At 49.2% G+C, this 27315-nt stretch overlaps 1 protein-coding gene and 1 pseudogene across 3 annotated transcripts in view, besides 5 other annotated features; both read left to right on the top strand.

The window, feature by feature from the left end:
• Nucleotides 1-22422, top strand: part of HSP90AA1 (heat shock protein 90 alpha family class A member 1) — a 59008-nt gene extending 36586 nt beyond the window's left edge. The window contains exons 2-12 of one of the 3 annotated variants that reach the window (XM_011536718.3): nucleotides 1082-1289; nucleotides 16786-16947; nucleotides 17040-17406; nucleotides 17733-17866; nucleotides 18166-18483; nucleotides 18600-18765; nucleotides 19181-19371; nucleotides 19471-19618; nucleotides 19862-20130; nucleotides 20720-21053; nucleotides 21343-22422. In XM_011536718.3, coding sequence (XP_011535020.1) covers nucleotides 1082-1289; nucleotides 16786-16947; nucleotides 17040-17406; nucleotides 17733-17866; nucleotides 18166-18483; nucleotides 18600-18765; nucleotides 19181-19371; nucleotides 19471-19618; nucleotides 19862-20130; nucleotides 20720-21053; nucleotides 21343-21452 — 2407 coding nt within the window. In that variant the 3' untranslated portion in view covers nucleotides 21453-22422. Of the gene's footprint in view, nucleotides 1-1078; nucleotides 1290-16119; nucleotides 16179-16785; nucleotides 16948-17039; nucleotides 17407-17732; nucleotides 17867-18165; nucleotides 18484-18599; nucleotides 18766-19180; nucleotides 19372-19470; nucleotides 19619-19861; nucleotides 20131-20719; nucleotides 21054-21342 lie in introns of those variants that run through there. The other 2 variants (NM_001017963.3, NM_005348.4) reach the window with 2 other exon arrangements.
• Nucleotides 6381-6480: a silencer, noted in NCBI's record as "silent region_6110". NCBI's record gives its function as "represses an Ori minimal core promoter by ATAC-STARR-seq in GM12878 lymphoblastoid cells {active_cell/tissue: GM12878}" and the evidence as "EXISTENCE:reporter gene assay evidence [ECO:0000049][PMID:35858748]".
• Nucleotides 15563-15612: a silencer, noted in NCBI's record as "silent region_6109". NCBI's record gives its function as "represses an Ori minimal core promoter by ATAC-STARR-seq in GM12878 lymphoblastoid cells {active_cell/tissue: GM12878}" and the evidence as "EXISTENCE:reporter gene assay evidence [ECO:0000049][PMID:35858748]".
• Nucleotides 15673-16202: a silencer, noted in NCBI's record as "silent region_6108". NCBI's record gives its function as "represses an Ori minimal core promoter by ATAC-STARR-seq in GM12878 lymphoblastoid cells {active_cell/tissue: GM12878}" and the evidence as "EXISTENCE:reporter gene assay evidence [ECO:0000049][PMID:35858748]".
• Nucleotides 16243-16532: a silencer, noted in NCBI's record as "silent region_6107". NCBI's record gives its function as "represses an Ori minimal core promoter by ATAC-STARR-seq in GM12878 lymphoblastoid cells {active_cell/tissue: GM12878}" and the evidence as "EXISTENCE:reporter gene assay evidence [ECO:0000049][PMID:35858748]".
• Nucleotides 18245-19444: an enhancer, noted in NCBI's record as "BRD4-independent group 4 enhancer chr14:102550057-102551256 (GRCh37/hg19 assembly coordinates)". NCBI's record gives its function as "activates an origin of replication core promoter dependent on BRD2, P300/CBP, MED14 and CDK7 cofactors, and independent of BRD4, by STARR-seq in HCT116 cells {active_cell/tissue: HCT116}" and the evidence as "EXISTENCE:reporter gene assay evidence [ECO:0000049][PMID:35650434]".
• On the top strand, nucleotides 25695-25984 carry RN7SL472P (RNA, 7SL, cytoplasmic 472, pseudogene; annotated as a pseudogene).

Genomic DNA, 27315 nt, shown 5'->3' with positions numbered 1-27315 from the left:
TGCTGCCCAGGCTGGAGTATATTGGCACCATCTTGGCCCACTGCAACCTCTGTCTCCTGGGTTCAAGTGATCCTTGTGCCTCAGCCTCCTGAGTAGGTGGGATTACAGGCATGTGCCACCATGCCTGGCTAATTTTTTTGTATTTTCAGTAGAGATGGAGTTTTACCATGTTGGCCAGGCTAGTCTCAAACTCCTGACCTCAGGTCATCTGCCCACCTCGGCCTCCCAAAGTGCTGGGATTACATGTGTGAGTCACTGCACCTGGCCCCCCACTTCTTTTTATTTTGTTTCTTTTTTGGGGGGTCTTACTATGTTGCCCAGGCTAGGCTCAAACTCCTAGGCTTAAGCAATGCACTCCCCTTGGCCTCCAAAGTGTTGGGATTACAGGCGTGAGCCACCACTCCCGGCCTTGAGTGCTTATTATGTACTATATTTCCCCATATTTTATCTAAAGTTAGTCTCTAGAATAATCATAGGAAGTAGACATTACTATTCCCATTTGATGAGAAACTCTCACAAGTCGTATGCGTGGCAGAGCCTCTTCTTCATACAGAGTGTGGAACAGGGAACTCGTGTCATTGATGCATTTAGCTTACTTTCCTAAGGGGCTTTCAAGGGGGACACTTCCCCTGGATTCAATTTTCCCCTTAGCCACTAACTTTGAAACCCAACCAGAATTCCAGACCCTTCAGTGCAGCTCTCCTGCAGTTGGTTGAGTCATTAGGATAAGTCTGAATGGAGCCTGGAATAATAACAACTAAGTTCTAGTTTTTGCTGCAGGCCCTCTAGCCCAGTCCAAGAGCACCTGGCCACCCAGAGAAGCACTGCTGGAGTGGGGGATCAGGCCATACAGCATCCACAGAGAAGCCCAGCTCCTTACTGGGACCCTGGTCCATTTCCCAAGTTGAACTTCCTGCAGGAAGAGAACATATCACATATTTTAATCCATTTGACAGTCACAGAGGAAGTCTAAGGAAGCCAGGGCATGCCTGCTTGGGGCTGTCCAAGTTCATCCTCTGCCGCCCTATCTCTGTTATGTTTGGTTTGGAAGTCCAGAAGATTGTGTTTATGTTCCCAGCAGGGCACCTGTTAACTGGTACCAAGAAAAGGCCCAAGTGTTTCTCTGGCATCTGATGGTGTCTGGATCCACCACTCTACTCTGTCTCTGGAAACAGCCCTTCCACGTCTCTGCATTCCCTGTCACCGCGTCACTGGCCTTCAGACAGAGCCAAGGTGCAGGGCAACACCTCTACAAGGATCTGCAGCCATTTATATTGCTTAGGCTACTGGTAAGTGGACTAAGGTTTAAAATTACTATCCTAAACATTTCTAGCTAATGTTAACCATCCATCCAACCAACCGGTGGTTGGAGTCACAGAAAGCTAAAACAATGTCACTCTCTTTATTGTTTATTCCCTGCCTACCCATCCACTGCATTGACATCTACTGAGGGTCCACTACAGGCCCAGGCAATGTCCAAGAGAGTCCCAGGTCCCTGCCTGGAGTGCATGTGACAATCATCATAATACAGGGCTATAGCGCATATATGACAAAGTGCTGTGGGAGAAAAGAGAAAGACAATCCAATCCCTTGGGCTCCCAGAAGAGGTGGCTTGTGAGCTGCGCCTTGAGCACCCACTCACGGAGGACAGCATAAGCAAAAGTGGGGAGGAATGTGGGCAGGAGGGGCGTGAAGAAGCGGGCAGTGGGGTTTGGAGTGACTGAACCCTAGGAGGGTGGTGGTGGCAAGAGATGATGGGGGAGTGTTGGAGGGGCCTGGGCAGGCTATGCTGAGGAGTTTGGGCTTGACCCAAAAGTCACAGTGAACCACGGAAGGGGCTGAGCATTGGAGGAACAGTCACACTCAGTGCCTTAGAACGTCACTCTGGCCTCTGGTTAGACACAGTGGGTGGAACATTTGCATTCATCTGTGTTCCTTCTGGAGCCCTGCTAATATGGCAGTGAACATTATATATGTGTGTATCTCATGCAGCCACAGGACAAAAGAATGAGAGAGGAGAAAGCAGCAGGGGAGAGAAGTGAACCAAATTTTGAATGCTGGGAGGAGATGGACAGTTGGTGACTGACCTTCCCTCAAGCATCTCTGGAGCCACAGCCCCCAGCCGGCTGTGTCCAGCACGTGGTAATTTATTGAACAAGAATGGGAGGTACTAAAATACTGACTAGAAGCTTTGTGATTTGTGGGTAAGGATACAGGAATTTCATTAGAGCCCGTCCCGCCATGTCAGAGTTTATACGTCTTTGAAGCTGGTCAGTTTCTTTAGAGAGGAACTTCACAGATGAGGAAATTGAAGTACATGGAAGTCAAGTAGTCTCTCCAAAGTCACATAGAGTGATAGCAGAGCAGGGATTTAAACTCATGGCCAGTAAATAATGAAAATATAGGATTACTAATCAAAGAAATGCAAATTAAAATCAGAGCTGGGCATGGTGGCTCACGCCTGTAATCCCAGCAGTTTGGGAGGCCCAGGCGGGCAGATCACCTGAGGTTGGGAGTTTGAGACCAGCCTGACCAACATGGAGAAACCCTGTCTCTACTAAAAATACAAAATTAGGCGGGCATGATGGTGCATGCCTGTAATCCCAACTACTCGGGATGCTGAGGCAGGAGAACCGCTTGAACCCGGGAGGCGGAGGTTGTGGGGAGCTGAGATCGTGCCATTGCACTCCAGCCTGGGCAACAGGAGTGAAACTCCATCTCAAAAAAAAAAAAAAAAAAACCAGACTGGAAATTTTGTTTTTTTGAGACAGGGTCTCACTCTGTCGCCCAGGCTGCATTGCAGTGGCCCAATAATAGCTGACAGAACCAAGCCCTGAGAGAATTCACTGTGAGCCTGACGCTCCTAACACTGCTATCCTTCCTCAAAAACCACTGGGAGATTTACCAGCTGTTCGGTTTTAAAGAGAAAATTTTTACATAATAATTGTTTTGAATATTTATAGTTCTTTTTTTTTCGAGACAGAGTTTTGCTCTGCTACCCAGGCTGGAGTGCCGTGGCACAATCTCAGCTTACTGCAGCCTCTGCCTCCCTGGGTCAAGCTATCCTCCCTGCTCAGCCTCCCAGTTAGCTGAGACCACAGGCGCATGCCACCACTGCCTGGCTAATTTTTGTATTTTTTGTAAAGATGAGAGTTCCCTATATCACCCAGGCTGGTCTTGAACTCCCGGACTCAAGCTCTCCACCCAACTTGGCCTCCCAAAGTGCTGGAATTACAGACGTGAATCACCATGCCCAGCCTACATTATAATTTTATTTTTGGAATTTTAAAACAGAATTTAGAAGAGATACCACTAATGACAGGAAACCCAGGGTCCCTGTGAGAACGGAGGGACATCAGGAAACCCGCCGCTGGGCAGTAGCACTAACGGGCTGACACTTGGGAAACAGAAGCAAGCATGAAGCGTCCACCTTCTCACTTAGTAAGAACATCAGCCACTGGCCTTCGTAAAGCAGAGTGTTCTTCACCAGCCCTAAACACACGTGTCACATTTAATTAGCTAGCTGTTTTAATGTGGGGAACAAGATTGAATGTTGACTGAAATGCAATGTTAGGGAGTTCTCTCTCCTGCATTTTTTTTCTTTTTGAGACGGAGTTCCGCTCTTGTTGCCCAGGCTGGAGTGAATGGTGCGCTCTCGGCTCACCACAACCTCTGCCTCCCAGATCCAAGTGATTCTCCTGCCTCAGCCTCCCAAGTAGCTGGGATTACAGGCATGCGCCACCGCACCTGGCTAATTTTGTGTTTTTAGTAGAGATGGGGTTTCTCCATGTTGGTCAGGCTGCTCTCGAACTCTTGACCTCAGGTGATCTGCATGCCTCGGCCTCCCAAAGTGCTGGGATTACAGGCTTGAGCCACCGTGCCCAGCCTCTCCTGCATTTTTAAGTGAAATACAAAATTGTTGAAAAGGTTTTCAATTTATAAGCAGCATGCTGTATGCTTTGGAGTGCTGCTTGGAATAATACATTATGAAGTAGCTTAGAAATTTTTTTAGTTGGCTATTATATATCCCTTAGCCACTCGAAGTATGAACTTAGCATTATGATTTGCCACAACTTATTAATTGGGACTGGGACACATCAGTTTATAAAACATTTGCATAATGCTTGCTTGCTCTAACTTTGGAGAAGGTACAGGGTGTTTGCAATGTGTGGAGGTTTCAGCTCATTCTTGCTCAGCTCTACTTAATAATCCACTTCTACCCTAGCTTTTCTGTCCTCTAGTGAAAGAGTTTAGAACTACATTAAGATAGAAATGGCACCTGGTCCAACTGTCCCATCCCTACTCCTCATTTTACAGACAACAAAACTGAAGCTTGGCCAGGTGCAGCGGCTCAAGGACTGTATCACTTGAACCCCGGAGGCGGAGGTTACAGTGAGCCAAGATCGTGCCATTGCACTCCAGCCTGGGCGACAGAGCACTTTGGGGGACCAAGGCAGGCAGATCATGAAGTCAGGAGATCGAGACCATCCTGGCTAACATGGTGAAACCCTGTCTCTACTAAAAATATAAAAATTAGCGGGGTGTGGTGGCACATGACTGTAATCCCAGCTACTCAGGAGGCGGAGGCAGGAGAATCACTTGAACCAGGGAGTCGGAGGTTGTGGTGAGCTGAGATCACACCACTGCACTCCAGCCTGGCAACAGAGATAGACTTTGTCACAAAAAAAAAAAAAAAAAAAAAAAGGCCAGGTGCAGTGGCTTAAGCCTGTAATCCCAGCACTTTGAGAGGCTGAGGCGGGCAGATCACAAGGTCAGGAGTTGGAGACCAACCTGGCCAATATGGTGAAACCCCATTTCTACTAAAAATACAAAAATTAGCCGGGCGTGGTGGCAGACGCCTATAGTCCCAGCTACTCGGGAGGCTGAGGCAGGAGAATCGCTTGAACCCGGGAGGCGGAGGTTGTAGTGAGCCGAGATCAGGCCACTGCACTCCAGCTTGGGAGACAGAGCGAGACTCTGTCTCAAAAAAACAAAAAAAAAGAAAAAGAAAAACAAACCCGAGGCTTAAAGAGAAGAGACTTGCCCCCAGGTCAGTCAAGGAGGAATAAAGAAGCCAACACTCCCTCTCCCTGGAGGTGGCAGGGAGGGAAGGCATCCGGAAGGGATAATGTTGACCTGTCTCCTAAAGGAGTGGCCATTTTCCAGGGAAGAGGAACAGCATGAGAGCAGAGGTGTGAACTAGCCGGGTGCTGGGGTGGGAGGGCCTTTTATTGCAGGGTTTGGAGATGAGGGCAGAAGCTGACAGGACCAGGTTATAGAGGACCGGTAGGCCCAGCCCAAGAGTCTATAAGGAAGTCTGCACTGAAACTCACAACCCATTCGTGACAAGGTGGCCTGATCAGGGTACCCACTACCTGGTCAATTGGCCACATAGGCAATTCCTGACAGCCAGGTGATCCCTGGCTAGTGTAGACAAAGGAACTATCAGCTCCCCTACCAGGCAGGAACATCACATCTGCTCATTCCTCCTCTAGTTTCAGTTTTAACCCACCCCACCTCGAGGGGTATCTGAGGATAAACAAGCCCTCTGGGCACTGGACGGACCAGCTAGGCCTGTTCTTCCACTGGCTGAACCAGAGGTTGCCCTTGGGGGGACTCAAAGGCCTCTGCTCTTGCATTGGCCAAGACCAGAACAGGAGCAGCAGTGGAGGGGAGAGCCAGCCTGCACCCACCCCCACTTTGTACCCACCACCCTATAGTCGTAAGGGAGATCCTGGGAGGTTTTGGGGAGGAGCAGGGAGGGCTGTCCACAATCCACAATCCCTGGCTCTCTCTACCTTAAGACTCAGCTTGCTTCAAATTTTCCTTTTTTTTTTTTTTAACCCTCCATTCTTTCTTCTTTAAAAAAAATTGCTTTTGCTGGGCGCGGTGGCTCATACCTGTAATCCCAGCACTTTGGGAGGCCAAGGGGGGCGGTTTATCTGAGGTCAGGAGTTTGAGACCAGCCTGGCCAACATGGAGAAACCCCGTCTCTACTAAAAATACAAAATTAGCAAGGTGTGGTAGTGGGCGCCTATAATCCCAGCTATTCGGGAGGCTGAGGCAGAGAATCACTTGAACCCAGGAGGTGGAGGTTGCAGTGAGCTGAGATCACTCCACTGCACTCCAGCCTGGGCGACAGAGCGAGACTGTGTCTCAAGAAAAAAAAAAATTGCTTTCTTCTCTTACACAGTTTCATTCCCACTCCATGAAAGGCTAGAAGCTTTGCCATGAACTTTTCAGGGTGAAACATTAATGATGGTGATCTATACTGGAGGTCACATAATTCTCACTTTCCTGATTCTCCCATACACAGGGAATAACGAAAAAATGAAATTCCTAAACTTCAAAGACATTTCCAACTGGAGGCCCCATATACAACCAATTAGCTGGCCAGTGGGTGGCGCCAAAGGTTTATCACGGCCTTTGGGCGAAGGGTTCCCATTTGGTCCCGCTGGAAAGCAATTCAGTTATCCATTCAGCACACATAGATGGCTGTGTGCCATGTGCTGCGTCTTGAGACGAGAAAGACAGAGTCTAATTTCAATTCACACCAGGGACTAAGAGCTGTGGAGGAGGCATCCAGAGTGAATTTGGCCAGAGCAGGTGATTTCCAAGCCAAGCTTGGCAGACACGTATTTGCCTGGAGAAGGGCATCGCAAGAGGTTCCAGGTGCATTTGGAGAACAACCCAGCATGAAGAGATGATCGGGGGCAGACCGTAGACCCTTGGGCTGCTGCAGTAATCAGAGTGAATGAAAAGGAATGCTGTAATGTTGAATCTGAGGGGCCCTGAGTGCACTTAGCAGGATCTGCTGCCCCTGGAGGCTGGAGGGAGGGGCGAGAGAATGGAGCTGCTGTGAGCTCGGAGGAGGTGAGGCTGGAACAAAACCAGAAAACAATGCAGCCACATATTCTTGGTGCACACCCCACCCCTACCTCCCTTTTCTCCGTATCTATTTCTCTGCCATGTTCTTAAATTACCAGGTCCCCTGGTCAGGTCTGACCATGGTGCCCCATTAGGCTGCCTTGGGGAACTCAGGTGGGTTGTGGGCAGGGCTGGAGGTGCCTTGGTGACATGTGGGTGCCCAGCATTCCAGGTCTGAGAGCACCAAGATCAGGCATGGAGATGGGCACAGGAGGGGGCCTCCCAAGGAAGGTGTGTGTTGCAGGCAGAGGTGGGGTCAGCCAGGCCCTGGGATTTGAATACCAAGAGAGGGACTACAGGCTCAGTGTCCTGGGAGCCCAGGGGTTTTCTGCACTGGGAAGTGGGCAGATGAAAACGGGAATGTAGAATAGATAAACCCAGCAAGACCCAGCTGGAAGTGGAAATGGTGTGGGGCCCTGAGGGCCTGGATCAGGGCAGGACCCTAAGCACAGAGAGAAAGAACGTTTTAAAGGAAAAATCCACCAGACTTGTCAGCTGTCAGAATGTGGGGGCTGAAGGCAAGAGATGAGTCAAAGATGACTCAGAAGATTTGAAGGTGAGTTCAAGGGAAAATGGCAGTACTTTGGGGAAGGAGTTCAAATTCGTGTCCAGGACCCCTGGTTCTGCTAGGAGACAGGAGCATGCCCAAAGGCATCCCACTTGTTTGTATGTTTCTGGCCTGTCCCTCCCCGACTAGAACAGAAGTTCCTGAGGGAGCTGCCTCTGCTCTGTCAGTTCTTTGTGCTTTACTCAGAGGGGCTCACGCACATCTGTCCCCTGCCTGACTCAGAGCAGATGCCAGGGGATGCAGACTGAGGCTTCCGCAGGAGGGAGGCTAGGGAGGCCTGCAGGTGAGGGGTGATAGGGAAGAAAGAGTCCCGCCACCCCTCTCCCACAGGTGCTCCCACACCCAAGCACCCCCAGGACTGGACCCTCTCACAGGCACAGCCTCCTGTCCCCCAGGCCTCTCTTCCTCTGAGATCCCAGGCTTTCTGGCCCTACTGAGACTGCCATCCTGGGAACCGTCTTTGTGCCCATCCATGCCTGTCCCATTGCCTTCCTTCTCAATACATCCCTTCTACCACATTCCTGCTCATGTTCCCAGCATCCTGTTCATTGGAGGCCCATCCACGTGGATGCGCAGCAGACACTGTGGTCCAACAAAGGTGACACTGAACCATTGGCAAGGGTCACCTGCCATCATCTGCCTGAGCCCTATGTTCCCCTGGTGAACACAGCCTCACCCACCCGGGAGCCTCTGGGGCTCCTGTGCTTCACCCTGTTAACTCGCTCCCCTGACCTCTCCCAAGTTTGCCCCTGCTACACCCACCAACTCTTCAGGGACAGGCTCTCCTCAGGTCTCATTGGAAGCGTGCTTCCTACACACCACGGTCAGAGTGGATGCGGGTCAGACTGCAGCTCCTGGGAAGATGCCACAATGCCTCCTATGATCTCCAGGCCACGTTTCCAGTCCCTTGGCCCCTGCCTACCTCTGACTTCAGCTCCAGTGGCCAACCCCTGCCCCAAGAGGGGCTCCGTGTCCCCCTACCCACTGCACTGAAGGAATTTTCCAGCCTCCATTTTCTTTTTAATTCTTGCCTTCTCACTGTTCCCTGGCTAACTCCTAGTATTCCTTCTATATTTCACCGCAGACCCTCAGGGCTCTTGCAAACTCTGTTCCCTCCCTCTCCTGCATGCCCTTCCCCACACTCCCTCCCCACAGCCAGCACCTGCCCTCCTCAGTGCATGGGGTGCCCCTCACCATCCTAGCACTCTTCAAGAGTTTCTAAGTCCACATATTTAGGTGGTGGGGGCTTTATGCCTGCCTCGACCACAATGGTCAGGACCCAATTTTGCTCCCACTTTGACCCAGGGCCTGGACATGGGCTTTTGGTAAACAGATATGAACAGAATGGTGAACAGACAAATAATGAACAGTAAGGCTCCATTTCTGGCTTATCAATGTGGCCAGACATTTTTTTTCAGCCGCACTCAGTGCTGCCAACAGTGGGAGGGGAGGGGAACGAGTTTGCCGGCTTCCCGGCGGCAGCATGTGGTGAATTCAAGAAGTGACCAACCCCAAGCCGGCCTTTGAAGGATGGGTTGAAACTTGCTTGGTGAAGTTTTGGTACTGAAGCATCCCGATTTTATAGTTACTCAATGGAAAAACTGGGTTGCTCCGTGGAAATCCACTTTAGGGTCGACTCTGAAACATCAATGGCCAGCACCCGCTCCCGGGTCCTCCCACCTTCCTTCTTTTTTCTTTTTTGAAAAAAGAAAAAAGACTCAGGCTGGAGTGCCGTGGCACAATCTTGGCTCACTGCAACCTCCTCCCCTCAGGTTCAAGTGATTCTCCTGCCTCAGCCTCCTGAGTAGCTGGGATTACAGGTGCATGCCACCATGCCTGGCTAATTCTTTGTATTTTTAGTAGAGCTGGGGTTTCACCACGTTGGCCAGGCTGGTCTCTAACTCCTGACCTCAGGTGATCCACTCGCCTCGGCCTCCCAAAATGCTGGGAGTAAAGGCATCAGCTACCTCGCCTGGCCCTTTCACATCCCTTCTATGGTCACACCTATTGTAGAGAGATTTAGACCAAAGCACAGAGAGGCTGAGAAGCTTGCTCACAGTCACACAGCCAGCGAGTGGCAGGACCAGAATTCACAATCTGGCTCCAGACCCGTGCTTTAACTGATGCCATCTTTCTCGGAAACTGTGTCTCCAAGAAATGACAGAATTTTTTTTTTTTTTTTTTTGAGACGGAGTCTTGCTCTGTCACCAGGCTGGAGTGCAGTGGTGTGCTCTCGGGTTTAAGCGGTTCTCTTGCCTCAGCCTCCCGAGTAGCTGGGATTACAGGCATATGCCACCACGCCCAGCTAATTTTTGTATTTTTAGTAGAGACAGCGTTTCACCATGTTGGCCAGGATGGTCTCAATCTCTTGACCTTGTGATCCGCCCGCCTTGGCCTCCGAAAGTGCTGGGATTACAGGCGTGAGCCACTGCACCCGGCCTTTTTTTTTTTAAATATATATATATATATTTTTTAATTTACTTTTCCCACACTACACTGATTTACAATTTTTCTTTCCTAAGTATGAACCACTTAATTTTCCTATATAACTATAGGTTGATCCTGAACATTTCTTCAACTTTCTACAAGGTTTGCTAAACATTGATTATTTAAAAACAGCTGTTGGCTGGGCGCGGTGGTTCACGCCCGTAACCCCAGCATTTTGGGAGGCCGAGGCAGGCGGATCACGTGAGGCCAGGAGTTCAAGACCAGCTTGGGCAACTTGGTGAAACCATGTCTCTATTAAAAAGCAAAAATTAGCTGGGCATGGTGGCGCACGTGTCCCAGCTACTTAGGTGGCTGAAGCATGAGAGTTACTTGAACTGAGGAGGCAGAGGCTGCAGTGAGCCGAGATTTTGCCACTGCACTCCAGCCTGAGTGACAGACCCTGTCTCAAAAAAATAAAAACAACAATAAACTGCACATGTTTAAAGTACAATTTGATGTATTTCAACATATGTATATACCTAGGAAACCATCACTACAATCAAAATAATGAAGATTCATCATCCAAAAGTTTCCTCAGGTCCCTGTGATCCTTCCCTCCTGCCCCTGTCTGCCCCACCTCCTACAGGCAACCAGTGATCTGCTTTTTGTCACTATAGATTAGTTTGCATTTTCTAAAATTTTATATAAATGACTGACTGGCATCTTTCTCAGCATAATTATTTTTCAAAAAGAACATTTAAACAAAATAGACCATATTCTGGGCCATTAAACAAGGCCCAATAAATTTAAAAGGATTTAAATCATGCAAAGTATGTTCTCTGACCACAATGGAATTAAATATTAGAAATCAATAATAGCATGGTGGCTCACTCCTGTAATCCCAGGATTTTGCGACACCGAGGCAGGCACATCACTTGAGGCCAGGAGTTTGAGACCAGCCTGGTGAACATGGTGAAAGCCCATCTCTACTAAAAATACAAAAAAGTCAGCCAGGTGTGGTGACGCATGCATGTAATCCCAGCTACTTGGGAGACAGAGGCATGAGAATTGCTTGAACCCAGGAGGCGGAGGTTGCAGTGAGCCAAGAGCACGCGACACTGCACTCCAGCCTGGGCGACAGAGCGGGACTGTCTCAAAAAAAAAAAAATCAGTAACAAAAAAAATCTGAAAAACCTCCAACTATTTGAAAAGTAAAACATGTAAAAATAACCCATGAGTCAAGAAATAAAAGGAAATTTTAAAAATATTTTGAGCTGAATGAAAATGAGAAAATGTATCAAAATGAATGAGCCAAGGGCAGTTGTGGTGGCTCACACCTGTAATCCCAGCACTTTGGGAGGCCACAGTGGGAGGACTCCTTAAGTCCAGGAGTTCAAGACCAGCCTGGGTAATATGGCAAGACCTCATCTCTACAAAAAAAATAAAATTTAGCTGGGTGTGGTGGCACATGCCTGTGGTCCCAGCTCCTCAGGAGGCTGAGGCAGAAGGATCACTTGCGCCCAGGAGGCTGATGGTGTAGTGAACCATGTTTGTGCCACTGTGCTCCAGCCTGGGCAAGAGAGTGAGACTGTCTCTTTTTTTGTTTGTTTGTTTTTTTGAGACAGTCTCACTCTGTTGCCCAGGTTGGAGTGCAGTGGTGCAATCTCGGCTCACTGCAGCCTCTGCCTCCTGAGTTCAAGCAATTGTCCTGCCTCAGCCTCCCGAGTAGCTGGGACTACAGGTGTGTGCTGCCACACCCAGCTAAATTTTTTTGTATTTTTTGTAGAGATGGGGTTTCACCATGTTGTCCAGGCTGGTCACAAACTTCTGACCTCAATTGATTGGTCTGCCTCAGCCTCCCAAAGTGCTGGGATTACAGGTGTGAGCCATTGCACCCAGCTGAGACTGTTTATCAGGATAAAACAAAAATCATGAGCCAGACCTGGGTGTAACTGCCCTGGAGGCCCTTGCTCTGGGTGACCCTGAGTAAAGGACTTACCTCTCCTAAGCCTCAGTGTTCTCAACTGTACAGTGGGACCAAAGACACCTACTTCAGAGTCGAGAGGACTAAGAAACTGCATGCAAAGTAGCTAGCCTGCTGCCTGGCAAGCAAGTGAGGGGGCATAAATTGCTATGGGGTAGGCTATCACCTGAGCCATCTCCAAAACCAGAAGTGGCTCATTTAAGCTTCATAACCACTCTATGAAGAAGACATGTTCATGTCTATGCTACAGATACTGAACTGGATGCATAGAAAGGGTAAGTGACTTGCCCTGGGTCACACAGGCAGTGGCTGAGCTAAGATCTGAATCCAGGCCACCTGGATCCAGAATCCATGCTCCAGCTTTACTGAGGGACACTGAAAGCTTTCAAATAGAGGAGGAAAATGGTCAGATTGCCCTAACAGCAACATCACTGTGGGACGAGGTCAACAAATATTTAGGATGCTAAATCTGCAAGGCTTGGTGATCTATTAGAAATACGTTGTTGAGGCCAGGCACTGTGGCTCACGCCTCTAATCCCAGCACTTTGGGAGGCCAAGGCGGGCGGATCACAAGGTCAAGAGATCAAGACCATCCTGGCTAACACGGTGAAACCCCCTCTCTACTTAAAGAATACAAAAAATTAGCCAGGTGTGGTGGCGGGCGCCTGTAGTCCCAGCTACTAGGGAGGCTGAAGTAGGAGAATGGCGTGAACCCGGGAGGCGGAGCTTGTAACAAGCCAAGATCGCACCACTGCACTCCAGCCTGGGCGACAGAGCAAGACTCCGTCTCAAAAAAAAAAAAAGAAATATGTTGTTGAGGAAGGAAGAGGAGGAGGCTGGACAGAAAAGGCGGTGAAGCAGGAGTGGAAGAACTTGGGGTTGGAGGGCTAGAGGAAGCAGAGGAGCACATGTGGTCTGTACTCTGAAGGAGAGGGCACCACATTCTGAGAACCTCTCCATGACAGGACACCTGGCCTGGTGGGAGGCAGGTGGGGTTCCTAAGAAAATGTGTGAGCAGAAGATCCATTAAAAATTAATTAGAGAAGAACAGAGGGAATGGTGTTCCAGGCAGAGGGAACAGCATTTGCACAGCCTCGTGGGGGCGAGTCATGGGGAGTGCGCCAGACACAGAAATAGGAGCACAGTGGGAACTGGCGCTGTATGGGGAGGCAGCAGCGACCTGCAGGGCCTCACAGGCCTAAAGAGCTCTGTCTTCCTCCTAGAAGGATGGGAAGTCAGCTAGAATTTGCAGAGGGTGGGGAGGAGGGAATAGATAGGGCCAGGTCTGTGTTCTCAAAGCTCACCCTGGCTACAGTTTGGAGACAGACCAGACCATATGCAGGGAGCAGTTAGGTGGTTATGGAGGCCTTCCAGGTGAGCTGACGGTTGTGTGGAAGCGGGGGATGAAGGTGGAGGGAAGTGGCTGGGTTCAAGAGGTACTTAGGAGGCAGAAGTGGCAGGACTCAGTGCCAGATCCGTTGTGGGGATGCTTGGGGTTCTTTAAGGTGGGATAGTCAGTGACCTGGCTAACGAGCCCTCAAAGAGGGCTGGAGACAGGGGGGAAGCTCATGAGGCTCAGCATCCAGGTCTGGAGCTGAGTCCTGGCCGGGCTCTTCCGTGAGTCATCTGCACACAAGTTCTATTAGTGAGAGTGCTGGACAAGATTTCCTGGGGGCAAAGACCCACCTCCAAGAGCTCCGTGATGTGCCAGGGAGAGGGGCATGAGTCTGAGAAGAGAGAAGGAACAGCCAGGGGCTGGCGTGTTGATGGTAGAAACCATTACAGAGTTCGCACCTGGTGGGTAACTGTGGAATGTCACCTGGAGACAGGACAAAAATGTCCTGTTTATTAACCGAGGGGGGAGAGCTGGAAAGACAAGAAGTTGTGGAAGGAAGAAGGGACATTAAAGATGGGGCCTGACGGGAAACAGTGGTTCCCAGTGATGCCCAGACCCAGGGAGGGGCTTTGGAGCAGGTTCACTGGAGAAATGGGGGTAAATGAAGGTCCCCAAAACAAAGGACAAAGAATGTCAGAGCTGGCCGGGCGCCGTGGCTCACGCCTGTAATCCCAGCACTTTGGGAGGCCGAGGCGGGCGGATCACCTGAGGTCACGGGTTCGAGACCAGCCTGGCCAACATGGTGAAACCCCGTCTCTACTAAAAATACAAAAATTAGCCGGGCGTAGTGGTGGGTGCCTGTAATCCCAGCTACTCGGGAGGCTAAGGCAGGAGAATCGCTTGAACCCAGGAGGTAGAGGTTGCAGTGAGCAGGTTGCAGTGAGCAGAGATTGTGCCATTGCCCTCGAGCCTGGGGGACCAAGAGTGAGACTTTGTCTAAAAAAAAAAAAAAAAGAAAAGAAAAAAAAGAACGTCAGAGTTAGGGCCCTGGATGGCTCCTCTATATCTCAAACCCCCTGGGCAATGGCAGAAACTGCGGTAGGAAAAGTTCCTACAAGTGAGGAGAGCGGGGACAGTGGCTGGTGGTGACAGGAAGGAAACAGGCAAAGGCGGCAGTCGCCAGGGAAGACCTTGCGCCCCTTCAGCGACCCGCTCACCGCTCTTCCTGCTTCCGGATTCCTCCCCGCCAGTCCAGGCTGCAGCTGTAGGAAAGCCTGGGCCGGGGGCGCGCCCCCAGGCTGCGCAACAGCTACCACAGGACCAGGCACACACCCGGTCACCACCGCTGGGGCCCGCGCCACGTGGCTGCTAGTTTCCTTCCACTTCCCCCGCTTTGTAATGCCAGGCAAGACGCTTTATGTTGATTTCACACGCTCTTAAGGGGGTCCCAGGCCGCAGTCTGAAAACCCCTGCTCCTGAGCAAGTTGCGTTTCCCTAAAGACCAGGAAGCGGAGGTAGTTCCATCGTTTCTTTACACGGCAAGGAGCTTTCAGATTATTCCGAGGGCCTGGCTATGAGTCTAGGCAGGAGGCGGCCCAATCATGGGAGGCGCCAGAGACAAAGAGGAAGAGGACATGGACTAGGCAGGGAAGCCAGGTCGAAGGAACCCCAATGCCTCCAAGGTTCCCACAGCTGGCCTTGGCCAAAATATCCGAAAATTCCCATGTAGAAACTGGCTTTTCCAGCCTGGGCAACATGGTGAAACCCCGACTCTACAAATAAATACAAAAACTAGACAGGTGTGGTGTCCGCGCCTGTGGTCCTCTGCCCACGCTCGTCCCAGCTACTGGGAAAGCTGAGGCGGGAGGATCACCTGAGCCCGGGAGGGTCGAGGCTGCAGTGAGCCGAGATTCCGCCGCGGCACCCCAGCCTGGGCGACAAAGCGAGAGCCTGTCCAAAAAAAAAAAAAAGAAAAAAAAAAAAAAAAAAACCTTTTAGGGCAAGTTAATCACCAAAGTGTTAGATACTTAATTTGGAGACCGCAAATCGGTCGGCAAAACGATGGGCTTTTCAAAATCATGCCGGGTGTAGCTGGGTAAGCATGAATTTGTTCACCAAGTCCCCGATTCCCAAGCTAAGGGACCCTTAAGTATGAAGCACATGGCTTTCGGGGAACCCAAAAGTAGGGAGCGCTCCCGAGCCAGCGGTGGGTCTGGAGAATCCCCGAGCGCGCAGGCCGCGGGACAGCCTCCCCAGTGCGCAGCAGCCTGAGGCTAACAGCCCCCAGAGGGCAGAGCCCCGCGATCCCGGCGCCGCTTGCGGCTGGATTCTTTGGCAGCGGGCGCGGCGCCAGTCAGGACGACGGCTCCGGAAGTCTCCCGGGCGCGTGAGACCCGGGCCGCTCTCCGTCCACGCACGACCCTCCCTCCAGGCGCGCCTCCCACCCCGGCCCCGCGTTCCGCTCAGCCCGGGTGACCAACTACACCTCACTTCAAAGGCCCCCACGCCCGGGCGTGCCCTCCGCCCGCCCGCGGCAGGTGGGGGTGCAGGGCGGAGGGCGCGGGCGGCCCCAGAAGGCGCCCGGACCTTCCCGAGAATTCCGGGCCGCGCAGGCGCATTGAGGCCGGCGCGGGGGCGTGCGAGAGGCGCGCGGCGGCGATTGAGGGAAGGTTGCCCGGGCCGGGCCACGAGCAGGGCCTGCGCGCGCCCGCAGGAAGGCGCGGGGGCGGGGTGCCGCGGCAACGGCGCATGCGTAGGCGCGCGGCCGCGGCGGCGGCTGGGGAGGGTTCTTCCGGAAGGTTCGGGAGGCTTCTGGAAAAAGCGCCGCGCGCTGGGCGGGCCCGTCGCTATATAAGGCAGGCGCGGGGGTGGCGCGTCAGTTGCTTCAGCGTCCCGGTGTGGCTGTGCCGTTGGTCCTGTGCGGTCACTTAGCCAAGGTGACGGGTGGTTGTGGGGGCCTGTGGAGGTGGACTGGGGACCGGGACTGGGGGCGGCTGGCGCGGGGCGGAGGCTGTGGGGGCCGGACCAGATCCCTGAAGCAGCCAGGGCCGCGCTCCCGGGCGGCCGCGCTTTCTATTCCGGAGGCCTCGGGACCGCTGCGGTTTCCGCACCCCGCTTCAGGAATGGGCCGGGCGGCCGCGGGCTCCCCGAGGCTCTGCAGCAGCGCCAGAGCTGGCGCCGCACGCGAACAGAGCGGCCCCGCCGCGGGGGTCCCCCGCCCGGCCCCGCTGGGGGCGCAGGCGGAGGAGGCCGCCGTGGCGGAGCCGCAGCCCGCGCGGGAGGGCACCCGGGGTGTTCGTTGGGGACCGCGGCGGGGGACTGGGCCCGGGCCTGCGGCGGCCTCCCGGAAGCGCGCACACGCTCGTGGTAGTTGCCGCGCTCCGAAATGAGGTCATCCTTTGTCAGCCGCCCTTCTATTTTCGGTTTACTTAAACTTCGCAAATCTCCAATTCGGCTTTAAAAATATTTGGAGAACGCGATGGAATTTCGTGTTGCCTCTGTAGACGTCCTGCAAGGTTTTAAACCGGCGCGGTGTCGTTCCAGATGCCTGAGGAAACCCAGACCCAAGACCAACCGATGGAGGAGGAGGAGGTTGAGACGTTCGCCTTTCAGGCAGAAATTGCCCAGTTGATGTCATTGATCATCAATACTTTCTACTCGAACAAAGAGATCTTTCTGAGAGAGCTCATTTCAAATTCATCAGATGTAAGTCACTTATTAACCCAGAATCGGATTTTGGTTTCAGTGTGAACTTCTTGGGGGTGCTGTATGCTTAAATTAATATTTTTTGTTAACAGGCATTGGACAAAATCCGGTATGAAAGCTTGACAGATCCCAGTAAATTAGACTCTGGGAAAGAGCTGCATATTAACCTTATACCGAACAAACAAGATCGAACTCTCACTATTGTGGATACTGGAATTGGAATGACCAAGGCTGACTTGATCAATAACCTTGGTACTATCGCCAAGTCTGGGACCAAAGCGTTCATGGAAGCTTTGCAGGCTGGTGCAGATATCTCTATGATTGGCCAGTTCGGTGTTGGTTTTTATTCTGCTTATTTGGTTGCTGAGAAAGTAACTGTGATCACCAAACATAACGATGATGAGCAGTACGCTTGGGAGTCCTCAGCAGGGGGATCATTCACAGTGAGGACAGACACAGGTAGGCACCTGAACATTCACTGGTTAAGTGAGCGGTGGAAGGGTGGGGTGCTGCAACCCTTGGACCCCTGGGGATGCGGTGAAGCTTACAGAATTTGTGTTTGCCCAACGATCAGGAACAAGCTAGAGCACTTAATTAGTGTAATGGCATGACTTGGTGGGCGGTTCTTTTGGGCGAGGCACCTTGCCCAAAAGGTTCTGCTGTGGTGGCCTTTGCATCTGTAGTAACGGCAAACCTTGCTTTATAGACACGTTATAAGGGTGTTAGGCATGGCGTTGAGCACTAAATTGAATGTATTAAGTCAATTTTTCTTTCTTCTCTTGCAGGTGAACCTATGGGTCGTGGAACAAAAGTTATCCTACACCTGAAAGAAGACCAAACTGAGTACTTGGAGGAACGAAGAATAAAGGAGATTGTGAAGAAACATTCTCAGTTTATTGGATATCCCATTACTCTTTTTGTAAGTTTTTATGTAATTGCAGAGTGAATTTCTGTCTGTAGGTGATTGGGGTGACTGTACTACATCCTTAGTCCCTAGATCTGTTCAACTAGTCTGAAGCCTGGGGAACCTAAGCTCTACTACCTAACTCTGTAAAAGTTCCTCGGGCTATTAAGTGGATGTATCAAATATTGATGAAAAGCTGGGTGCTTCTCAAGTTGGCTAATTTAGACTTGGGCCTTAGGTTGAAAATAGTGGTGCAGCGCTGTCGCTTAGTTCTGGAGTGCAGCAGTGATGTGATTTCGTGTTTTCTTTTGAAGGTGGAGAAGGAACGTGATAAAGAAGTAAGCGATGATGAGGCTGAAGAAAAGGAAGACAAAGAAGAAGAAAAAGAAAAAGAAGAGAAAGAGTCGGAAGACAAACCTGAAATTGAAGATGTTGGTTCTGATGAGGAAGAAGAAAAGAAGGATGGTGACAAGAAGAAGAAGAAGAAGATTAAGGAAAAGTACATCGATCAAGAAGAGCTCAACAAAACAAAGCCCATCTGGACCAGAAATCCCGACGATATTACTAATGAGGAGTACGGAGAATTCTATAAGAGCTTGACCAATGACTGGGAAGATCACTTGGCAGTGAAGGTGAGTGACTGATGGGTGCTTCAAGCTTGTCCTTAGATTATCATCTTTCTCCACCACCCCAAATATCTTCTATAATGCATTGTTCATTGGTACTTAGTGTATCTGTTTTATTACAGCATTTTTCAGTTGAAGGACAGTTGGAATTCAGAGCCCTTCTATTTGTCCCACGACGTGCTCCTTTTGATCTGTTTGAAAACAGAAAGAAAAAGAACAACATCAAATTGTATGTACGCAGAGTTTTCATCATGGATAACTGTGAGGAGCTAATCCCTGAATATCTGAGTAAGTATAGATAGGAAAAATAATCACTGTCACTGATTAAAGAAGTACTTTCTGGGTGGGCATGGTGGCTCACACCTATAATCCTAGCACTTTGGGAGGCCGGGGTGGGCAGATCACTTGAGGTCAGGAGTTCAAGACCAGCCTGGGCAACATGGTGAAACCCCATCTCTACTAAATTACAAAAATTAGCCCCATGTAGTGGCAGGCTGAGGCATGAAAACAGCTTGAACCCCCCCGGGAGGCAGAGGTTGCAGTGAGTGGAGATTGCGCCACTGCCCTCCAGCCTGGGCAACAGAGTGAGACTGTCTCAAAAATACGTCCCATCATCTTCAGGTTATCTTTGATTTTGGGAGTTTACATAGTACCAGTTTTGTCCTTGGAATGACTCAGTGCATTTGGTTTATATTTTTTTCAGACTTCATTAGAGGGGTGGTAGACTCGGAGGATCTCCCTCTAAACATATCCCGTGAGATGTTGCAACAAAGCAAAATTTTGAAAGTTATCAGGAAGAATTTGGTCAAAAAATGCTTAGAACTCTTTACTGAACTGGCGGAAGATAAAGAGAACTACAAGAAATTCTATGAGCAGTTCTCTAAAAACATAAAGGTTGGTGTAAATAACCATTAGTTTTCCAATTGGCCTCTTTAGTTTTTTTTTTTTTTTTTTAATTCAGAAAGTCTTTGTAAAGAACATACTTTGTTTCAGCTTGGAATACACGAAGACTCTCAAAATCGGAAGAAGCTTTCAGAGCTGTTAAGGTACTACACATCTGCCTCTGGTGATGAGATGGTTTCTCTCAAGGACTACTGCACCAGAATGAAGGAGAACCAGAAACATATCTATTATATCACAGGTAAGAGAACACTATGTTACAGTCATACACGTCGTTCTTACAATCTTGTAGGCTCTGTGGGTGTGTTTTCTACTCAGGTAGCACTGTTACAACTGGTATTGATCTAGGCAAGATAATTAACATGAACTAGGTCATTTTCTGTCTTAGGTTCTGCCTAGGTATCTGGCTAGCAAGAAAAGTCAGAGCTAGATGAAACCATTCTTAACTGTTAAAAGGTCTAAAAGTAACTTTGTAATACCTCAGGTGAGACCAAGGACCAGGTAGCTAACTCAGCCTTTGTGGAACGTCTTCGGAAACATGGCTTAGAAGTGATCTATATGATTGAGCCCATTGATGAGTACTGTGTCCAACAGCTGAAGGAATTTGAGGGGAAGACTTTAGTGTCAGTCACCAAAGAAGGCCTGGAACTTCCAGAGGATGAAGAAGAGAAAAAGAAGCAGGAAGAGAAAAAAACAAAGTTTGAGAACCTCTGCAAAATCATGAAAGACATATTGGAGAAAAAAGTTGAAAAGGTATGTGAATACAGCATTTCCTGATCATTGATACTTCTAAGGTGCTTTCAAGCTTAGTCATACATAGCCCATTTTCGCATGTTTTCAACTTAAAACAGAAAACTATGTTGTGTGTGGCTGGGCGCGGTGGCTCACGCCTGCAATCCCAGCACTTTGGGAGGCTGAGGCAGCGGATCACAAGGTCAGGAGATCGAGACCATCCTGGCTAACACGGTGAAACTCAGTCTCTACTAAAAATAGAAAAAAATAAACCAGGCGTGGTGGCACGGCCTGTAATCCTAGCCACTTGGGAGGCTGAGGCAGGAGAATCGCCTGAACCCAGGAGGCGGAGGTTGCAGTGAGCCAAGATCGCACCACTGCACTCCAGCCTGGGTGATGGAGCGAGACTCTATCTCAAAAAAAAAATTGTGCATGTAAAACATGAAATTATAACCTGTGCTCTTTGGATACCTAATGCGACATTTAAGTTGTATTTGACAGTAGATAGTATTTTGGATCTATTGAAATTTGGGTTCTACAGATTTCATTTCACAATGAAAGTTTAGGAATTAATCTTTCTAGGTTCCTAGTCATCACTTTTTGATTACAGGTGGTTGTGTCAAACCGATTGGTGACATCTCCATGCTGTATTGTCACAAGCACATATGGCTGGACAGCAAACATGGAGAGAATCATGAAAGCTCAAGCCCTAAGAGACAACTCAACAATGGGTTACATGGCAGCAAAGAAACACCTGGAGATAAACCCTGACCATTCCATTATTGAGACCTTAAGGCAAAAGGCAGAGGCTGATAAGAACGACAAGTCTGTGAAGGATCTGGTCATCTTGCTTTATGAAACTGCGCTCCTGTCTTCTGGCTTCAGTCTGGAAGATCCCCAGACACATGCTAACAGGATCTACAGGATGATCAAACTTGGTCTGGGTAAGCCTTATACTATGTAATGTTAAAAAGAAAATAAACACACGTGACATTGAAGAAAATGGTGAACTTTCAGTTATCCAAACTTGGAGCACCTTGTCCTGCTTGCTGCTTGGAGGTATTAAAGTATGTTTTTTTTAGGGATAAGTAAGGTCTTACAAGAGCAAAGAAATGAAATTGAGACTCATATGTCCTGTAATACTGTCTTGAAAGCAGATAGAAACCAAGAGTATTACCCTAATAGCTGGCTTTAAGAAATCTTTGTAATATGAGGATTTTATTTTGGAAACAGGTATTGATGAAGATGACCCTACTGCTGATGATACCAGTGCTGCTGTAACTGAAGAAATGCCACCCCTTGAAGGAGATGACGACACATCACGCATGGAAGAAGTAGACTAATCTCTGGCTGAGGGATGACTTACCTGTTCAGTACTCTACAATTCCTCTGATAATATATTTTCAAGGATGTTTTTCTTTATTTTTGTTAATATTAAAAAGTCTGTATGGCATGACAACTACTTTAAGGGGAAGATAAGATTTCTGTCTACTAAGTGATGCTGTGATACCTTAGGCACTAAAGCAGAGCTAGTAATGCTTTTTGAGTTTCATGTTGGTTTATTTTCACAGATTGGGGTAACGTGCACTGTAAGACGTATGTAACATGATGTTAACTTTGTGGTCTAAAGTGTTTAGCTGTCAAGCCGGATGCCTAAGTAGACCAAATCTTGTTATTGAAGTGTTCTGAGCTGTATCTTGATGTTTAGAAAAGTATTCGTTACATCTTGTAGGATCTACTTTTTGAACTTTTCATTCCCTGTAGTTGACAATTCTGCATGTACTAGTCCTCTAGAAATAGGTTAAACTGAAGCAACTTGATGGAAGGATCTCTCCACAGGGCTTGTTTTCCAAAGAAAAGTATTGTTTGGAGGAGCAAAGTTAAAAGCCTACCTAAGCATATCGTAAAGCTGTTCAAAAATAACTCAGACCCAGTCTTGTGGATGGAAATGTAGTGCTCGAGTCACATTCTGCTTAAAGTTGTAACAAATACAGATGAGTTAAAAGATATTGTGTGACAGTGTCTTATTTAGGGGGAAAGGGGAGTATCTGGATGACAGTTAGTGCCAAAATGTAAAACATGAGGCGCTAGCAGGAGATGGTTAAACACTAGCTGCTCCAAGGGTTGACATGGTCTTCCCAGCATGTACTCAGCAGGTGTGGGGTGGAGCACACGTAGGCACAGAAAACAGGAATGCAGACAACATGCATCCCCTGCGTCCATGAGTTACATGTGTTCTCTTAGTGTCCACGTTGTTTTGATGTTATTCATGGAATACCTTCTGTGTTAAATACAGTCACTTAATTCCTTGGCCTTACAGTGTCTCAAAGTTCTTTACAAATCTACTTAAAGCCATCCTGGCTGAGGCAGGAGAATCGCTTGAACCTGGGAGGCGGAGGTTGCGGTGGGCTGGGATTGCACCATTGCGCTGCAGCCTGAGCAGCAAGAGCGAAACTCCATCTCAAAAAAAAGATGAAAAAATCAGCCCAATAGGTAAGAGTCCCTCTGGGGACTGGGGGTGGTAATGGCTAAATAAAAGTCTTCACTTCTGAAATTTGGTGGTTCTAGAGACAAAACTTGGTTAGATAGCATATAGGATTTGCATTCTGAGCCTAACGCCATATATAAAAATGATAGGAAATGCCTGGGACTTGGATATGTGACAGTGTCTAAGGGGGCAGTGCACAGGCAGGGAGAGACCTTGTCTCAGTCTCGTGCTAAGCAGGTATTGAATGCTTGGTAAATGGCAATCACGTTTAGTCCTTTAAATTCTCTGAAAAGTTCTTAATCCCCTTCGATAATATACAGGAGGAATTACGTAAATTGAGGTCTTAGTAGTGGCTGAATTTAAATTTAACTCCAAAGCCCCATTTTATTCTGCTAAGTTTTGTTGCGTACTGAAAGGTGTTAGAAGAAAGGTTTACGGTGTTAAACTAGGAAGTGAATGGCAAAAAGGGTAAAAAGTCAATTTTGTTTTTTCCCAGGTCTAGCAAGAGAATATTAAATCTTAAGATTTCTTTCAATTAAAAACATAAGGCACTTGAGGGAATCAAGTCAATATAGAACCTCTATAAATGATCTCCCAAATGAACTCATCCTCCTGGAGTTACTGGGAAAGCATTTATGGCAAATAGGTCCAGATGCACAGGTAAGTACCCATCTCCCAGCAACCCCCATGCTGGAGACTGTACCACCAAGAAGATGGATCCCCAGCCCAGTGAGTGAGAAGATGAGCTAGATGACACATGAATGTCATGCTGAAAATGCCCTTGCACTGCTCCAGGACCACAATTCTTACCCTATTGCTTCAAAATTCACTGTTGTTTCAAACCTTCCATAATCAAGTTCCATCCTGCCAGGGAGGGTGGTGAGTGCTGAAAAGACATGCAAACTGGACAAGAGAATTATAGATGACATGGTCGTCTAGGTAGGAAACTCATAAGGAATCTACCAAAATTATGCTAGAAATGATTTTAGCATAGGATAGTTGAGCCAGGCATGGTGAGTCACGCCTGTAATCCCAACACTTTGGGAGGCAAAGGTAGAATTGCTTGAGCCCAGGAGTTCAAGACTGTCTAGGCAACAAAGTGAGACCCTGTCCCTCTGAAAAAATTAAGGCCAGGTGTGGCTCATGCTTGTAATCCCGGCACTTTGGGAGGCCAAGGTGGGTGGATCACCTGAGGGTCAGGAGTTCCAGACCAGCCTGGCCAACATAGCAAAACCCCATCTCAACTAAAAATACAAAAATTAGCTGGGCGTGGCGGCAGGGACCTGTAATCTCTGCTATTCGGAAGGTTGAGGCAGGAGAATCACTTGAACCCGGGAGGCGTAGGTTGCAGTGAGCTGATTGCGCCACTGCACTTCAGACTGGGCAACAGAAGGATACACCGTCCCAAAAAAAAATTTAAAATAGCTGATCATGGTGGCACATGCCTGTAGTCCAGCTACTTGGGAGGCTGAGGTGGGAGGATTGCATGAGCTCAGGTGTTTAAGGCTGCAGTGAGCCATGATCATTCCACTGCACCCCAACCTGGGACACAGAGCAAGACCCTGTCTCTATAAAGATAAAAAAATGAAAGAAAAGCAGTAGTTGCCTGGGGCCAGGAGTCAGAGCAGGGAGTGACTGCAGAGAGGCAAGAAGGAACTTTTGAGGGCAATGGAAGTGCTGGAAAATGATCAGGTGGTGCCAGCTGTGTGTGTGTATATATATATGTTTTTTCTTTTTTTTTTTTGAGACGAAGTCTCACTTTATTGCCCAGGCTGGAGTGCAATGGCGTGATCTAGGCTCACTGCAAACTCCACCTCCCGGGTTCAAGCGATTCTCCTGCTTCAGCCTCCCGAGTAGCTGAGATTACAGGCACCCGCCACCATGCCCGGCCAATTTTGTATTTTTAGTAGACAGGGTTTCACCATGTTGGCCAGCCTGGTCTCGAACTCCTGACCTCAGGTGATCTGCCCGCCTTGGCCAGCTTTAAGTGCTGGAATTACAGGCATGAGCCACGCACCTGGCCAGGACTCTTTCATCTGCTTAGGGCTAACCCTCTCCTCCTGTCCTGAGAGCTCACTTTACCCAGGCCACTTCCACCACATGCATGGCTCTTCTGGAGCAGAATCCCTGCCTGCCTCGTCGCCTCAGGAAGTGGCCTACACCACCCCTGTCCTCACCATCTCTCAGTCCTCTCAACTTTTAGTGATTCCTACCAGGCATAGATTCATCAAGATCAATATTTGCTTTTTTTTTTTTCCTTTCTTTTGAGACAGAGTCTTGCTCTGTCGCCAGGCTGGAGTGCAGTGGCGCGATCTTGGCTCACTGCAACCTCCACCTCCTGGGTTCAAGCAATTCTCCTGCCTCAGCCTCCCCAGTAGCTGGGATTACAGGCACACGCCACCACGCCCGGCTAATTTTGTATTTTTAGTAGAAACAGAGTTTCACCATGTTGGCCAGGATGGTCTAGATCTCTTGACTTCATGATATGCCTGCCTCGGCCTCCCAAAGCACTGGGATTACAGGTGTGAGCCACTGCGTCCTGCTGATTCAAGTTTTTATTGAATACCTACTAAAGGCCGGTGGCTCATGCCTGTAATCTCAGCACTTTGGGAGGCCGAGGGGGGTGGGGTGGGGCGGATCACAAGGTCAGGAGATCGAGACCATCCTGGCTAACACTGAAACCCCATCTCTACTAAAAAAAAATACACAAAAAATTAGCCAGGCGTGGTGGTGGGCGCCTGTAGTCCCAGCTACTTGGGAGGCTGAAGCAGGAGAATGGCGCGAACCCAGGAGGCAGAGCTTGCAGTGTGCTGAGATAGCACCACTGCACTCCAGCCTGAGCGACAGAACGAGACTCCAACTCAAAAAAAAAAAAAAAGAATACCTACTAAAAGCCAGCCCAATACAGTGCAGTGGGCCACACGAGTGATGATGGCACCACTTGGGGAGGCCAGCAGGGCAGAACTAAGCTACAGCAGCTACCAGGAATACCCCAACCAAGGGCTAGGCACGGAGCAGGGTGGGGTTTGCTCTGCTGGTGGGGCAGAGTTCGGAGAAGCTCTGGGAAGGAGATATCCAGACTGATAGAAAGGGGACTGCAGTGGAGCACGCCTGTAGTTCCAGCCACTTGGGAGGCTGAGTAGGAGGATCTCTTGAGCCCCGGAGTTCTGGGCTGTAGTGTTGTACTGCAGTCGAGAGTCCATGTTAAGTTCAGCATCAATATAGTGACCTACTGGGAGTGGGGGACCACCAGGTTGCCTAAGAGGGGTGAACAGACCCAGGTCAGAAATGGAACAGCTCAAAACTCCAAGGTTGATCAGAAGTGGGATCATGCCTGTGACTAGCCACTGCACTCCAGCCTGGGCAACATAGTGAGACCCTGTTTCTATTTTTTATTAAATAAAATAATAATATTAAATAAATACGCCTGCTCAGATGGTCTAAAGAAAGAAATATATAAATAAATAAAGCTGACCTCATTCAAAAAGAGGGAAGTGGAGGTGGATTTCCTGGCTGAAGGAAGGGCACACTCCCAGGCTTGAGAAGTGGGCATGCTTGCTCTTGGGAAGGGACATGTGAGCCGTCTGAGGGGGGATACAAATTATTGTGTGTTCCTGGAACATTAGCCATGGGCCTGGTAGCCTGTGGTTTGCCATGAGAAGCCTCTTCAAAACGGTGGGGCCTGTACCCACCCCTTGAAAAATGTCCTTAATACCGGTAATACTGAGGCAGCTGGCTAAGTCCGCTTTTCCTTCTCCTTTCACGAAATTGTCTCATCTTTTTTTTTTTTTTTTTTTTTTTTTTGAGACGGAGTCTCGCTCTGTCGCCCAGGCTGGAGTGCAGTGGCGCAATCTCAGCTCACTGCAAGCTCCACCTCCTGGGTTCACACCATTCTCCTGCCTCAGCCTCCTGAGTAGCTGGGACTACGGGTTCCCGCCACCACACCCGGCTAATTTTTTGTATTTTTAGTAGAGACAGGGTTTCACCGTGTTAGCCAGGATGGTCTTGATCTCCTGACCTCATGATCTGCCTGCCTCGGCCTCCCAAAGTGCTGGGATTACAGGTGTAAGCCATCATGCCTGGCCGAAATTGTCTCATCTTCATACCAGGTGGGCCCATATTCCAGCTTTCATTTTATTTATTATATTTTATTTATTTATTTATTTATTTATTTATTTATTTATTTATTTATTTATTTGAGACAGAGTCTCACTCTGTCGCCCAGGCTGGAGTGCAGTGGTGCGATCTCGGCTCACTGCAAGTTCCGTCTCCTGGGTTCATGCCATTCTCCTGCCTCAACCTCCTGAGTAGCTGGGACTACAAGCGCCCACCACCACACCCGGCTAATTTTTTGTATTTTTAGTAGAGACGGGGTTTCACCGTGTTAGCCAGGATGGTCTCGATCTCCTGACCTTGTGATCCACCCGCCTTGGCCTCCCAAAGTGCTGGGATTACAGGCATGAGCCACCGCGCCCGGCTTTGTTTTGTTTTTGAGACAGAGTCTCGTTCTGTTGCCTAGGCTGGAGTGCAGTGGCACAATCTTGGCTCACTGCAACCTCTGACTCTCAGATGCAAGCAGTCGTCGCGCCTCAGCCTCCCAAGAAGCTGGGATTACAAGCATGTGCCACCACACCCAGCTAATTTTTGTATTTTTAGTAGAGACAGGGTTTCACCATATTGGCCAGGCTGGTCTTGAACTCTTGACTTCAAGGGATCTG

This window comes from Homo sapiens, chromosome 14 (assembly GCF_000001405.40).
Source record: "Homo sapiens chromosome 14, GRCh38.p14 Primary Assembly".
Lineage (NCBI taxonomy): Eukaryota > Metazoa > Chordata > Mammalia > Primates > Hominidae > Homo > Homo sapiens.
The sequence above is the reverse complement of the archived record's forward strand: the minus strand, read 5'-3'. Positions and strand labels throughout refer to the sequence as shown.